This window comes from Homo sapiens, chromosome 10, assembly GCF_000001405.40.
Source record: "Homo sapiens chromosome 10, GRCh38.p14 Primary Assembly".
NCBI classification, from domain to species: Eukaryota; Metazoa; Chordata; class Mammalia; order Primates; family Hominidae; genus Homo; species Homo sapiens.
Window position 1 is genome coordinate 32,195,596 of NC_000010.11, and position 15,538 is coordinate 32,211,133.

General features: G+C 42.8%; 4 annotated features.

Annotated features, from left to right (window-relative positions):
* Positions 564-757: a silencer, noted in NCBI's record as "fragment chr10:32485087-32485280 (GRCh37/hg19 assembly coordinates)". NCBI's record gives its function as "represses an EF-1alpha promoter that drives an FKBP-Casp9 reporter gene in an ReSE screen in phorbol 12-myristate 13-acetate-treated (for megakaryocytic differentiation) K562 erythroleukemia cells {active_cell/tissue: K562(+PMA)}" and the evidence as "EXISTENCE:reporter gene assay evidence [ECO:0000049][PMID:32094911]".
* Positions 11,906-12,200: an enhancer, noted in NCBI's record as "tiled region #2209; HepG2 Activating DNase matched - State 4:PromP, and K562 Activating DNase unmatched - State 12:CtcfO". NCBI's record gives its function as "activates a minimal TATA promoter and a strong SV40 promoter by Sharpr-MPRA in HepG2 cells, with weaker activation in K562 cells {active_cell/tissue: HepG2 | K562}" and the evidence as "EXISTENCE:reporter gene assay evidence [ECO:0000049][PMID:27701403]".
* Positions 11,906-12,240: a biological region, named in NCBI's record as "Sharpr-MPRA regulatory regions 2209 and 5551".
* Positions 11,946-12,240: an enhancer, noted in NCBI's record as "tiled region #5551; HepG2 Activating DNase unmatched - State 12:CtcfO, and K562 Activating DNase matched - State 12:CtcfO". NCBI's record gives its function as "activates a minimal TATA promoter and a strong SV40 promoter by Sharpr-MPRA in HepG2 cells, with weaker activation in K562 cells {active_cell/tissue: HepG2 | K562}" and the evidence as "EXISTENCE:reporter gene assay evidence [ECO:0000049][PMID:27701403]".

Consider the following 15,538-nt stretch of genomic DNA (forward strand, 5'->3'; position numbering starts at 1 on the left):
CTACAAAAATACAAAAATTAGTGGGGCATGGTGGCAGGGGTCTGTAATCCCAGCTACTAGGGAGGCTGAAGCAGGAAAATCACTTGAACCTGGGAGGCAGAGGTTGCAGTGAGCCAAGAGCCAAGATCGAGCCATTGTACTCCAGCCTGGGCGACAGAGCAAGACTCCGTCTCAAAAAAAAAAAAAAAAAAAGAATTGTCTTGTTCCTGATCTCAGGGAAAAAGCTTTTAGTCTTTAGCCATTGACTATGATGTTAGCTGTGGGCTTTTCATATATGACCTTTATTATGTTGAGGTAGTTTCCTTCTACTTGTTCAGTGTTTTGTATCATAAAAGGGTGTTGGATTTTGTCAAGAGTTTTTTCTGCATCAGTACAGATTATCATGCGTGTTTCCCTTTTCAATCTGTTTTTATGGTGTATTATTATTATTATTATTATTATTATTTTGAGACAGAGTCTTGCTCTGTCCCCCAGGCTGGAGTGCAGTGGCAAGCAATCGTGGCTCACTGCAACCTCTGCCTACCAGGTTCAAGCGATTCTCCTGCCTCAGCCTCCCGAGTAGCTGGGATTACAGGAATGTGGCACCACACCTGGCTAATTTTTGTATTTTTAGTAGAGACGAGGTTTCACCATGTTGGTCAGGCTGGTCTCAAATTCCTGACCTCAAGTGATTTGCCCGCCTCAGCCTCCCAGAGTACTGGGATTATGGGCATGAGCCACGGCTTCTGGCCTATGGTGTATTATTAATACATGGATTGATTTTTGTGATTTGAGCCATCCTTCCATTCAAGGATAAATTCCACTTGGTCATAATGTATAATTCTTTAAATGGGCTGTTGAATTCTATTTGCTAGTATTTTCTTGCAGATTTTTGCATCCCAGTGATTTCTTTTCTTGGAGTGTCTTTGTCTAGCTTTGGTATCATGATAATGCTGGCCTCGCAGGGTGAGTTAAAAATTATTCTCTCTTCTTCCATTTTTTTGAAAGAGTTTGAGAAAGATTGGTGTTAATTTTTCTTTAAATGTTTGGAAGATTTTTTTCAGTGAATTGTTGGGAGGTTTTATATTGCTGATTTAGTCTTCTTTATAGTTCTAGGTCTGTTCAGATTTTCTATTTCTTCATAATTCAGTCTTGGTAGGGTATATGTTTTTAGGAATTTGTCCATTTTATCTGGATTATCCAATTTGCTGGTGCATAATTGTGCATAGTACTCCCTTATAATAATTTTTATTTCTGTAAAATTAGTAATAATGTCCCCTCTTTCACTTCTGATTTTAGTTGAGTCTTCCTTCTTTTTTACTTCCTCAGTTTAGCTACAAGTTTGTCCATTTTTTTATTCTTTTCAAAAAACCAACTCCTGATTTTGTTGACTTTCTCTATTATTTTTCGATTCCTGTTTTGTTTAACTCTGCTCTAATCTTTATTATTTCCTTTCTTCTGCTGGCTTTGGGCTTAGTTTGTTTTTATTTTTTTTCAACTTCCTTATGGCATAAAGTTAGGTTGTTGATTTGAGATCTTTCTTCTTTACTAGTTTGTTTATAGCTATAAATTTCCCTCTTAGCACTGCTTTCACTGCATTTCATAAATTTTGGACTGAGTACTCTGTCACCCAGGCTGGAGTGCAATCTCAGCTCACTGCAACCTCCACCTCCTGCGTTCAAGCAATTCTCCTGCCTCAGCCTCCTGAGTAGCTGGGATTACAGGCACGCACCGTCACAACTGGCTAATTTTTGTATTTTTAATAAAGACGGGGTTTCACCATGTTGCCCAGGCTGGTCTCAAACTTCTGACTGTCAGAGTTAAAGAAAGAGGAAAGAAAGTTGAAACGCCGCTGGCAGTTAAAGACAGGTTTTCTTTAGTCAAAACCTGAAGACACTCCTGGCAGATTGTGGTCAGGAGCACTTTCTCTTACAGACTAAGAGTACATATCGGTTTTAGGGTTATCACAAGCTTGGAATGTTTATGTGTGTGGAGAAGTTTATGACGGGGCTGGAATCTCTCTGGGAGGAGGGGAGGTTATTTTGGGGCAGACATCTTTCTGGCCCGAGGGGGGTTATCTGGGCTAGCATCTTCCTGTCTGGAGGGGGCTAATTTAGGGGCTAGCATGTCTCCGGTCAGGGAGGAGTTTGGAATGTTTCTGGTTGGAGATGTTATCTGTGGTTTATGGTCATGTTGACCATAGCCATTAGGCTGATGCCCCTTGGATTTAGGTGATTTTTTTATTAAGGTGAACTTTAGAATGAGTGGCTTGTCCAAGATGCCAAGATGGCGATGCTCCTGCTGTCACTGACCTCAAGTGATCCACCCATCTCAGCCTCCCAAAATGCTGGGATTACAGGCATGAGCCACCGCCCCCTGCTTTGTCTCATATATTTTCTAATTTCCTCTGTGATTTGTTCTTTGATTCATTGGTTGTTTGATTTCCACATATTTGTGGATTTTCCACTTTTCCTTCTGCTATTGATTTCTAATTTTTCATTTTGATGAAAAAAGATACTTTGAGGCCGGGCACGGTGGCTCACACCTGTAATCTCAGCACTTTGGGAGGCCGAGGCAGGCGGATCACTTGAGGTCAGGAGTTCGAGACCAGCCTGGCCAACATGGTGAAACCCAGTCTCTACTAAAAGTACAAAAATTAGCCGGGCGTGATGGCAGGTGCCTGTTATCCCAGCTACTTGGGAGGCTGAGGCAGGAGAATTGTTTGGACCCAGGAGGCGGAGGGTGCAGTTAGCCGAGATCGCACTACCGCACTGCAGCCTGGGCAACAGAGGGAGACTCCATCTCACACACACAAAAAAGATACTTTGTATGATTTCAATTCTTTTAAATGTATTAAAACTTGTCGCCTAACATATGGTCTATCCTGGAGAATGATCCATCTGCAGTTTAAAAAAAATGTGTACTCTGCTGTTGTTGATTGGAGTGTTTTGTATATGTCTGTTAGGTCCATTTGGCCTATAGTGTTATTCAGCTCCTCTATTTCATTATTGATCTTCTGCCTGGTTGCCCTACCAAGATGGTGGTATTATTCTTTTCATTTTACAGACAAGGAATGGAGGAAGGCAAAGATATATAAAGTAGCTTGCTCAAGTTCATAGCTGGTTAAGTGGCAGAATTAGGTCTCAATTAAAGGTCTAGATTCTCCAAGGGGCATGCTCCAAACCACCAAGCAGGCTGGGCACAGTGTCTCACACTGGTAATCCCAGCACTTTGGGAGGCTGAGGCGGGTGGATCACTTGAGGTCAGGAGTTCGAGACTAGCCTGGCCAACATGGCCAAACCCCATCTCTACTAAAAACACAAAAAATAGCTGGGCATGGTGGCGGGCACCTGTAATCCCAGCTACTCAGGAAGCTGAGGCAGGAGAATCGCCTGGACCCAGGAGGCAGAGGTTGCAGTAAGCCGAGATGGCGCCACTGCACTCCAGCCTGGGTGGCAGAGTGAGACTCTGTCTCAAAAATACAAACAAACAAACAAAAATCCACCCAGCAAGAGATAGCTTTTCATACTATCCATACTGTGATCTTTCCACTGTTTAACCCCAAACACTTACTTGTTAAACTCTAATAACTGACCAATACCACACACACATACACATGCTCACTCACTGCCTCTAGGAGACTCAGGATTTCGACTGAAGGAGGCAGTGGGAGTTGTGACAGCCTCTGCAAACTCCAAAAAGGGACTTGGAGCCCCTTTCAGTACCTAACTCAACACTTAATGGGTTTCATTTCAGGTATAGCAATTACCCACCAGCGGAGGCAAAATATACCAGCTCTCAAAATATAAAGCTCTTTAAATATACAAGCCCTCTAAATATTTTAGAGACCTGTATCTATAAAATATACAAGTCTTGCTGGGCACAGTGCCTCATGCCTGTTATTCCAGCACTTTGGGAGGCTGAGGAGGGAGGATTGCTTGAGGCCAGGAATTCAAGACCAGCCCAGGGAACATAGGGAGACCCTGTCTCTACTAACTAACTAACTAACTAACTAACTAAATAAATAAATAAATAAATAAATAAAATATAAAAGTCTGTAAAACCTGAAAAGTCACAAAATATGTTACTCAAAAATTGAGCTAATTCAATGACATCAAGTTACAGGATGTTAGGGGAGATGGTTAACACTTCAAAGTGCATTGATGGCATTTTGGTGAAAGATTTCCTTTAGCTGAGGACCTTGTACTTTTTGCATGGGGCACTTATTATTAATCATTAGCTATGGAAAAATGAAAGATTAATTAGCCCTGCTGGAGAAGAAGTACAACAAGAAAAAAAGGAACAGAGCCAGGGCCCAGGGAGATAGCCCCACCCAGCAGGGACCATTTCCTCATTCCCTGGGCAAACAATCACCCAGGTACCCCCGAGTGCCTGGGGGATGGAACTGCTTATTTCTATTTGCCAAAAAGCGGAAACATCTATTTTGAAAGCTTATGTTATGGGGTTTCAACATTTATAGCTATTCCACTGGTGTCTAAATCAAGAAATTTTAAAAATTTGACCAACGTGGCCATTTAATTTAAATTCTGCTTTTAGTGAAAGTAAGAGTCACACGGTGCTATGCTCAGGCTGTTTTTTCAGGTACTTATTAATAATAACTCACATTTGCTTTCACATACTGTTGTCTCCTTTCACTCATACCACTGCCATATTGGGAGGTGGCACATGGGCCATCTCTCCTCTCTCTCTCTTTTTAAAAGAACACTCTTTTAAGTTGTCATACTGTGTCTTGTTGCTGCAACAGTATGAGTTCCTGTGAGATTTTCACTTTAGTTTTGATTTCCACCCTTTGCGCCCCATCCTTTGGCCTGTGAGGCAAGACTAAGGACAAAATATGTCTTGTGGGAACTTGTGTAGGTAAGTTCCTCATAGCTCACTGGGTTAGAAATTGTTGCATATTTGATGGAATTTCATAGGTAGAAGAGGGTCTAAGGACAGAGAAGAGGGGAGGATGAGGGACATATTTTTCCCGGTAAGGAAGGAAGGAGGAAAAATGAGATGTCACTTCAGGAAAGGACTAAACTTACATATGAAATGAACCCCTGTAGAGGTAATGGCATTTTATAATATATGAATTCACAAGTAGAGAACAGCTTTGCTCTTGGTGTGCAGTTGGATGTGATAATCCTTCTATACTGATGTTCTCATCTTTAACATGAGGTGAAAATTTCATGTTTGGAAGGTTGAGCTTGAAGCTGACAAATTGGGAAAACCTTAGGTTTTATTATTTTTAAAAAATACCAATTATAATTAGTAACAACACCCTTGAATAATTTTGGAGTTATTGCCACATAACATTAATCTCTCCAATTTTGCAACTTCAAATCTCTAAAGGATACTGCCCCAACTCCATTCCACCAACAGACATTGTACAGACATGCTTGAATCTTTACTCTGCAAGGCTTTAAAGATGGTTCCATTATTTCTATTATTATTATTTTTTTTTTTTTGAGATGGAGTCTCACTCTTTTGCCCAGGCTGGAGTGCAGTGGTACCATCACTGCAACCTCTACCTCCCAGGTTCAAGTTATTCTCCTGCCTCAGCCTCCTGAGTAGCGGGAATTACAGGTGCCTGCCATCACATCTGGCTAATTTTTGTATTTTAATAGAGATGGGGTTTCAGCATGTTGGCCAGGCTGGTCTAGAACTCCTGACCTCAAGTGATCCACCTACCTCAGCCTCTGAAAGTGCTGGGATTGCAGGCGTGAGCCACCTTTCCTGGCCTGGTTCCATTATTTTATTTTTTTATTATTATTTTTTTTTATCTTGGCTCACTGCAACCACCATCTCCCGGGTTCAAGCGATTCTCCTGTCTCAGCCTCCTGAGTAGCTGGGATTACAAGCACCTGCCATCATGCCTGGCTAATTTTTGTATTTTAGTAGAGACAGGGTTTCACCATGTTGGCCAGGCTGGTCTTGAACTACTGACCTCAAGTGATCCTCCTGCCTTGGCCTTCCAAAGTGCTAGGATTATAGGGGTGAGCCACCACGCCCAGCCTCCATTATTATTTTCTATCAAAACAAACCTACATTTTAAAAAATTTCATTTATTTATATTTTGTGTGTGACGGTGTCTCACTCTGTCGCCCAGGCTGGAGTGCAGTGGCACAATCTCGGCTTACTGCAGCCTCCGCCTCTAGGGTTCAAGCAATTCTCCTGCCTCAGCCACCCAAGTAGCTGGGATTACAGGCGTGCGCCACCATGCCCTGCTAATTATTGTATTTTTAGTAGAGACGGGTTTTACCATGTTTGCCAGCCTGGTCTTGAACTCCTGAGCTCAAACAATTCACCCACCTCAGCCTCCCAAAGTGCTAGGATTACAGGTGTGAGCGACCGTGCCCAACCCAAACCTACATTTTAAACTTTAGTTAGACTGTAAACTTCATAAGGACAAGGAGATGCGATATAAATAATAGCACAGTGGCTCTGATCTTGGGCTCTAGAGCCAGAACATTTGGGTTCAGGTTATCTACATCCTGTCAATCAGCTGTGACTTTGGGTAACTTACTTAATCCCTTTTGAATCTCAATTTTTTAAATATGTAAAATAGAGATAATAATATCTACCTTTTAAGATTCTAGTGAGGGTAATTCATTGATTTAGCAACTTTTTTGCATTTGGTAATTTTATGTTTTTAATTGACAAAGTATAATTGTACATATTTATGGAGTACATAGTGATGTTTCCATACATAGAATTTATAGTGATCAGATCAGGATAATTAGCATATCCATCATCTCAAACATTTATCAGCTATTTTCAGTTATTTGTTTCAGGAACTTTATTTATTTATTTTTTTTTTTGAGACAGAGTCCCACTCTGTCGCCCAGGTTGGAGTGCAGTGGTGTGATCTCAGCTCACTTCAACCTCTACCTCCCAGATTCAAGTGATTCTCCTGCCTCAGCCTCCCAAGTAGCTGGGACTACAGGTGCGTGCCACCACGCCCAGTAATTTTTTGTATTTTTAGTAGAGACAGGGCTTCACTGTGTTAGCCAGGATTGTCTCGATCTCCTGACCTCGTGATCCACCTGCCTCAGCCTCCCAAAGTGCTGGGATTACAGGTGTGAGCCACTGCACCCGGCCTAAGGAGCTTTCAATATCCTCCTTCTAGCTACTTGAAACTATACAATACATTATTAACTATAGTCATCTGCAATGATGTAGAATACTAGAACTACTTATTCTTCCTATCTAGCTGTAATTTTGTATCCTTTAATGAATCTCTTCCCATCTCTCCCTTCCTCCTACTCTTTCTAGACTGATGTAACAACATTTATTGAACATCTACTATTTATCAGTCACTGAGGATACAGTAAACAAACTTTCCTGCTTTATTTTTCCTTGTAACACTTATTATCCTCAACATATATTTATTTGTTGATTTGATTAGTGTCTGTCTCCCACCTTGTTAAGGAAAAAAACAGCCAGCCGAAAGTGGAGTCAGTAGTGCTGAAGTTCCACATTGCCAAATTGAAACATAAGTTGTTTATTTGTAAGATCTGGCCTTCCAAGAAATCAGGAGAGAGACAATAGCTAAATCCCATTAAGCCAACAAGATTTTGCTTACATCCCTAGTAGGAAAGTAACCTTGAAACGACCAATGCACTCTTTTTTTTTTTTTGAGATGGAGTCTGGCTCTGTCACCCAGGCTGGAGTACAGTGGCACGATCTTGGCTTACTGCAACCTCCACCTCCCAGGTTCAGGTGATTCTCCTGCCTCAGCCTCCCAAGTAGCTGGGATTACAGGCACCTGTCACCTCATCTGGCTAATTTTTATATTTTTAGTAGAGATGGGGTTTCACCATGTTGGCCAGGCTGGTCTCAAACTCTCTGACCTCAGGTTATCTGCCTGCCTTGGCCTCCCAAAGTGCTGGGATTACAGGCGTGAGCCACCGTGCCTGGCCTCCAATGTACTCTTTGTTCCCTGTTCCCACTTCCTTCTACTTTTTTCTGCCTATAAAACTCACCCATTCTGTTTAGCTCATTGGAGCTCCTTCCTATTTGTCTGTATGCTGCCCAGTTCATGAATCACTAATAAAAGTCAATTCAGTCTTTGAAACTCAATTCGAAATTTTGCTCTTTGACACCCTTCATCATGCCCCAGAAGCTTCCTGGAGACAGAGACATTTTCTGTGGTGTCCCTCACACCTGGACTAGGGTCTAGCATACAGGAGGAGTGCCGTATATGACACTCCTTAATGACAGAATGAATGACTTCTTAATGTCAGAATGAATGACACTCCTTAATGACTCCTTAATGACAGAATGAATGAATGGATTGGCAAGAGGCTTCCTTTCTGAAAGCCCAATGCTCGGAATGCCCTACATCCAAGAGGCAGGTTAGGTGCCACTTCTCTTTTCTCTGGTACTCTTCTTCACTGTCTCTTTGAACTTCCTTGGCAGGTGAGATCAGAAGGGCTAAGGATGCAGTTCCACATTGCAACTGCCAGTGCCTGAGAGAGCCTTGCATGGCGAAAGCATTATATTCTTGTTTTTCCCTTTGCTTCTGCTTTTTGGGTCAACATTTTCTCATCTTCATAGTGGGAAGATCAAAGATGAGGCAAAGCAGAGAGGAGGCCCTTTAACTAGGCTCTAGACTTGACCTAATCTAGGCACAAAGAATTCTTTACATGATCTATTATCTTTCACTGTTTGGATTGAGGTCAAATCTCAATAATGATGAATGTTAATATACCATTGTTGTCCTCTGGGCATGTTTTTCCCTTAATGGACTTATAGGGAAAGGTGGCTTGTCAAGAACACGATTAAGATGCTCAGGGCCAGGCATGGTGGCTCATGATTGTAATCCCAATACTTTGGGAGGCCGAGGCAGGTGGATCACTTGAGGTCAGGAGTTGGAGACCACCTGGGCCAACATGGTGAAAATCCTGTCTCTACTAAAAATACAAAAAAATTAGCTGGGCATGGTGGTATGTGCCTGTAATCCCAGCTACTCGGGAGGATGAGGCAGAAGAATTGCTTGAACCTGGGAGGTGGAGGTTGCAGTGAGCTGAGATGGTGCCACTGCACTCCAGCTTGGGTGACAGAGTGAGACTCCACCTCAAAAACAAAACAAAACAAAAAGATGCTCAGTGTCCTGAGTCCCCAGATGAATACCACCATAATATCATCCAATTTCCACACTTTTGTGCTAAGCCAGTGTTTCTCAAGCTCAGGTTCTGTTTTGCAATATGTTCCACGAAAGAAGCATTCCATACTGAAAAAATTTAGGAAATTTTAGAAAGGCTGCATTCTGTATTGGAATGTTTCTAACAACACAGCTTATTAACGACTCTGAATAGTCCTGCAGTAAGGAAATTTGTTTAAAATTATTTAACCCAGTCCATCAAAGAAACATTTTGACCTTGGAAATCTGTTTTGACCTTGGACATCTGTTTTTGCATATGCAGCTAATGGCCTGAAGAGTGCACTGGGGAAACTCCATGGTTGAGAATGAAAAGACATTGAAGCATAAGACCTAGCCACTGGCCTCCAACTCTGACATGATGTTGGTTACAGTATTTTCTTTTCTTTTTTTTTCTTTTTGAGACACAGTCTCGCTCTGTCACCCAGGCTGGAGTGCAGTGGCGCAATCTTGCTCACTGCAAGTTCCGCCTCCTGGGTTCACACCATTCTCCTGCCTCAGCCTCCCGAGTAGCTGCGACTACAGGCGCCCGCCACCACACCCAGCTAATTTTTTGTATTTTTTTAGTAGAGACGGGGTTTCACCGTGTTAGCCAGGATGGTCTTGATCTCCTGACCTTGTGATCCGCCCACCTCAGCCTCCCAAAGTGCTGGGATTACAGGTGTGAGCCACCACACCCGGCCAGTTACAGTCTTTTCAATTGTGAGGGTTTGATACCTTACAGGAAGGGAGGAACTGTTGCCTTTTGCACTGTTTTGGTGGATGCATACACACTCACATATCTCCCCAAAATACTTTGAAATATGTGTTCTTAACAATTCACAACATTTTGAACTTTTCCATAAAGTTCTTAACTTTACGTTCCAGACCACCGGAGCTGGACTATGCTGGAAACCATAGTCAGCTCCATACACAAATTGGATTGCATGTGAGCAGTTTAGCATCCATTAGCCTGCAGGAACAATTAAACTATGGATTTTATTCCAAGTTTTATCAAAGGAATTCCATGAAATGGGACTTGGGATATATATATTTCTTCTTCTTCTTATCTTGGTGTTTTTCAGGCCTGGCTTACTCAGGAATCAGCTCTGGGTGTGTTATTTCTTCTGTTATAAATTGCCTTCCTGTTATGTTACATTAAACGAGTCATAGTTGATGGAATTTGTGATAAAAAGCTAGTCTTTTGCTCAATTATATTTTTTCTAGCTTTCCTAAGGCAGAGGCCACATTTTATTTTTTTCTCCCCAAATAAGGACTTGTTGACTTGAAATATAATGAAAATATTAAAATGTCACATTTTATTTTCATATTTGAAACTCTTTATTTAAACTCTCTTTAAGTATTCTCTAAGTATCTACTGTCAGAGTACCAGTAAAGAAGTTGTGGTACATTCATGCAATGCACTTTTATGCAAGCAACTATTAAACATTATGTTATAAAAGAATAATTTAATGACATGGAAAAGTAGTATATATTTAGAGAGGGTAAAAGCACATAATCAGTATAGCATAGGATAAGTCTGTAAAGACTATATCAATGGCTGGGCACCGTGGCTCACGCCTGTAATCCCAGCACTTTAGGAGGCTGAGGCGGGCAGATCACAAGGGTTAGGAGATTGAGACCATCCTGGCTAACACAGTGAAACCCCGTCTCTACTAAAAATAATTCAAAAAATTAGCCAGGCGTGGTGGCAGGTGCCTGTAGTCCCAGCTACTTGGGAGGCTGAGGCAGGAGAATGGCGTGAACCCGGGAGGCAGAACTTGCAGTGAGCGGAGATCGTGCCACTGCACTCCCAGCCTGGGCAACAGAGAGAGACTCAGTCTCAATTAAAAAAAAAAAAAATTAGCAAGATTCTCTGATTTTTGGAAGAGGAGAGGGTTTAAACATTATACCGGCCTGTCTCATTGCACATCTAGGGATACCCCAGGGACCATAACAATGCAAGGTGAGTGTCCTTTGCCATCCTCTGGCTTTTGGCCTTGTCCTACCCCAGATGTTTCTTGTCCTCATTCTGACTGCAAGTTGCAGTGAGCCCTTCATGGAAACCCAGATTTCCATGTTTGAATCCATCTTTCTTCCTTCCCTTGTAACCAAACTATAAAATACTCTAGTGTCCTAATTCAAACTTTAATGATTGGCAATGGCTTATCTCCTATCATGGAGTGAATGTCTGTGTCTCCCCCAAATTCAGATGTTGAAATTCCAACCCCCCCATGTGGTGGCATTAGAAGGTGGAGCCTTTGGGAAGTAATTAGGTCATGAGGGTGGAGTCCTCACAAATGGGATTGGTGCCCTTGTAAAAGGGACCCTAGCTCTTTCACCCTCTTCCCGCCATGTGAGGATACAAGAAGTCAGCGGTCTGCAACCTGGAAGAGGACCCTCACCATATCCTGGTCTGCTGGCACCTTGATCTTGGACTTCCAGCCTCCTGAACAAAAATAATTTCTGGTGTTTATAAGCCACTCAATTTAGTGATAGTAACCCAAACAGACTAAGACATCACCCTTGAGATTATTTGCATTTTAATAGAATACAATACCTTACCTTAAAAAAGTTCACTGTAAACCCTGGACCCAGGGAGATAGGATTGTGCAGAGGATGTCTTCCAGAAAAAGCACATTCCCAGAGCAGTAACCAGGACCTGAACCTTCTCTAGTTACAGTTCAACCACGTTGGAAAATCTAAAGCAATAGTTCTCAATTTACCAGCGCTTCAGAATGCCCTGGAGTGATGTAAGGAGGTGGGGGGAAATTAATGAGGTGGTGGGGAGCGGTGGGAAGACCCAGGGGTAGCACACTGTGCTATTGGTTATGGGTAACCTGAAATATTTACATTCTTTAGGATGAAGCTAAGGTGCTCTTGGCACCCTTCAAAGCATTGTGGGTGCCCTGACAGCGTGGAAATTTCCCCAGCCTCCTTTGTGGCAGCCCAGCAGCCCCACCTGGTGGGTTATGGAGGTAGAGGCAACAGGTCAGTTTTTTAAGTAGGAGGCCTGTTTGCTTGAATGGAGACTGAAATCCTAATGGGCTTGGGCAGGTGGTATTTTAATCTGTACTTAATTCTCTAGGCAGTTTGCAATGGGTTTTTATTTATTTATTTATTTATTTATTTATTTATTTATTTTTATTATTATACTTTAAGTTCTAGGGCACATGTTCACAACGTGCAGGTTTGTCACATATGTATACATGTGCCATGTTGGTGTGCTGCACCTGTCAACTCATCATTTACAATAGGTATATCTCCTAATGCTATCCCTCCCCCCTCCCCCCACCCCACGACAGGCCCCAGTGTGTGATGTTCCCCACCCTATGTCCAAGTGTTCGTTCTCATTGTTCAATTCCCACCTATGAGTGAGAACATGCGGTGCTTGGTCTTCTGTTCCTGTGATAGTTTGCTGAGAATGATGGTTTCCAGCTTCATCCATGTCCCTGCAAAGGACATGAACTCATCCTTTTTTATGGCTGCATAGTATTCCATGGTGTATATGTGCCACATTTTCTTAATCCAGTCTATCACTGATAGATATTTGGGTTGGTTCCAAGTCTTTGCTATTGTGAATAGTGCCGCAACAAACATACGTGTGCATGTATCGCTATAGCAGCATGATTTATGATCCTTTGGGTATACGCCCAGTAATGGGATGGCTGGGTCAAATGGTATTTCTAGTTCTAGATCCTTGAGGAATCATCACACTGTCTTCCACAATGGTTGAACTAGTTTACAGTCCCACCAACAGTGTAAAAGTGTTCCTATTTCTCCACAGCCTCTCCAGCACCTGTTGTTTCCTGCCTTTTTTTTTTTTTTTTTTTTTTTTTGAGATAGAGACTCGCTCTGTCACCCAGGCTGGAGTGCAGTGGCGCAATCTCGGCTCACTGCAAGCTCCGCCTCCCGGGTTCACACCATTCTCCTGCCTCAGCCTCCCGAGTAGCTGGGATTACAGATGCCTGCCACCATGCTTGGCTAATTTTTTGTACTTTTTAGTAGAGACGGGTTTCACCATGTTAGCCAGGATGGTCTCAATCTCCTGACCTCGTGAACCACCCGCCTCGGCCTCCCAAAGTGCTGGGATTACAGGCATGAGCCACCGCGCCTGGCCATTTCCTGACTTTTTAATGATCACCATTCTAACTGGTGTGAGATGGTATGTCATTGTGGTTTTGATTTGCATTTCTCTGATGGCCAGTGATGATGAGCATTTTTTCATGTGTCCGTTGGCTGCATAAATGTCTTCTTTTGAGAAGTGTCTGTTCATATCCTTCACCCACTTTTTGATGGGGTTGTTTGTTTTTTTCTTGTAAATTTGTTTAAGTTCTTTGTAGATTCTGGATATTAGCCCTTTGTCAGATGGGTAGATTGCAAAAATTTTCTCCCATTCTGTAGGTTGCCTGTTCACTCTGATGGTAGTTTCTTTTGCTGTGCAGAAGCTCTTTAGTTTAATTAGATCCCATTTGTCAATTTTGGCTTTTGTTGCCATTGCTTTTGATGTTTTAGCCATGAAGTCCTTGCCCATGCCTATGTCCTGAATGGTATTGCCTAGGTTTTCTTCTAGGGTTTTTATGGTTTTAGGTCTAACATGTAAGTCTTTAATCCATCTTGAATTAATTTTTGTATAAGGTGTAAAGAAGGGATCCAGTTTCAGCTTTCTACATATGGCTAGCCAGTTTTCCCAGCACCATTTATTAAATAGGGAATCCTTTCCTCGTTTCTTGTTTTTGTCAGGTTTGTCAAAGATCAGATGGTTGTAGATGCGTGGTATTATTTCCGAGGGCTCTATTCTGTTCCATTGGTCTATATCTCTGTTTTGGTACCAGTACCATGCTGTTTTGGTTACTGTACCTTTTAGCATAGTTTGAAGTCAGGTAGCGTGATGCCTCCAGCTTTGTTCTTTTGGCTTAGGATTGACCTGGCAATGCGGGCTCTTTTTTGGTTCCACATGAACTTTAAAGTAGTTTTTTCCAATTCTGTGAAGAAAGTAATTGGTAGCTTGATGGAGATGGCATTGAATCTATAAATTACCTTGGGCATTATGGCCGTTTTCACAATATTGATTCTTCCTATCCATGAGCATGGAATGTTCTTCCATTTGTTTGTGTCCTCTTTTACTTCATTGAGCAGTGGTTTGTAGTTCTCCTTGAAGAGGTCCTTCACATCCCTTGTAAGTTGGATTCCTAGGTATTTACAATAGGTTTTTATTTTATTTTTTAAGAAACAAGACCTTACCCTGTCACCCAGGCTGGAGTAGAGTGGCACAATCATAGCTCACGGCAGCCTCAAACTCCTGGCCTCAAGCAATGCTTCTCAAAGTGTGGTCCCCAGTCAGCAGCATCGGCATCACCTGGGAAGCAGGAGCAATGCAAATTCTCCAGTCCCGCCTCAGACCTACTGAAGCGGACACACTGTGGGTGCTGCCCAGCAATCTAGGTTTTAACAAGCCCTCCAGGGCATTCTGAAGCGCTGGTAAATTGAGAACTGTTGCTTTAGATTTTCGAACGTGGTTGAACTGTAACCAGAGACGGTCCAGGTTCTGGTTACTGCTCTGGGAATGTGCTTTTTCCAGCCCGGAAGACTTCCTCTGCACAATCCTATCTCCTTGGGTCCAGGGCAAGCCCAGCCTTGCTCTTTGAGAGCAGTAAGACTCCAGGGAAATGCCATATGAGCTGGTGGGATTCCACCAGCATAAAAGGTGGAAATGGAGCCTATAGTGACCACTGCCCCAAACTCGCCAGCGCCCTCATGTGGAGGCACAACTGCAAAGATGCACTGAGTCACTCCCACGCGCGGCTCCTGTCCACCAAGATCCAGTCTGGTTAAAACACTAGGCCTTGCCCATAGATAATAGACAGCGCCACTTCCTTCCGTCCCTTTCTTCCCTTTCCTACCGTGCTATGAGGGGTTGATGCCCTTTGATTTCCCAGACAGACTGATTGCAAGAGCTGAACCTTACTTAAAGATGTGACTTCGGCTGGGCGTCATGGCGCTACATGTAGTTCCAGCTACAGGGGAGGCTGAGGCTGGAGGATCGCTAAAGCCCAGGAGTTGCAGTCCAGCCAATCACTGAGGATTTTTTTTAAATGCAAATTCTGACTCTGTAGGTCTCAGGGGGAGCCCCAGAGCCTGCATTTTTAATAAACGCCACAAACGCACTCTTGCTGCTAATGTGAGAACACCACTTTGAGCGGATATGATTAGGTTGCCCTCTAGTGATAATCCCATGGAAATCCAGGGTGTTTCTAGCTTCACGATGAACCGGGTCAGCTGGGACTTTCCAGAAAATTAAGACTATTAAAGGCCGGCATGGTGGCTCACGTCTGTAATCCCAGAACTTTGGGAGGCTGAGGCAGTAATCACTTGAGGCCAGAAGTTCGAGACCAGCCTAGGCAACATGGTGAG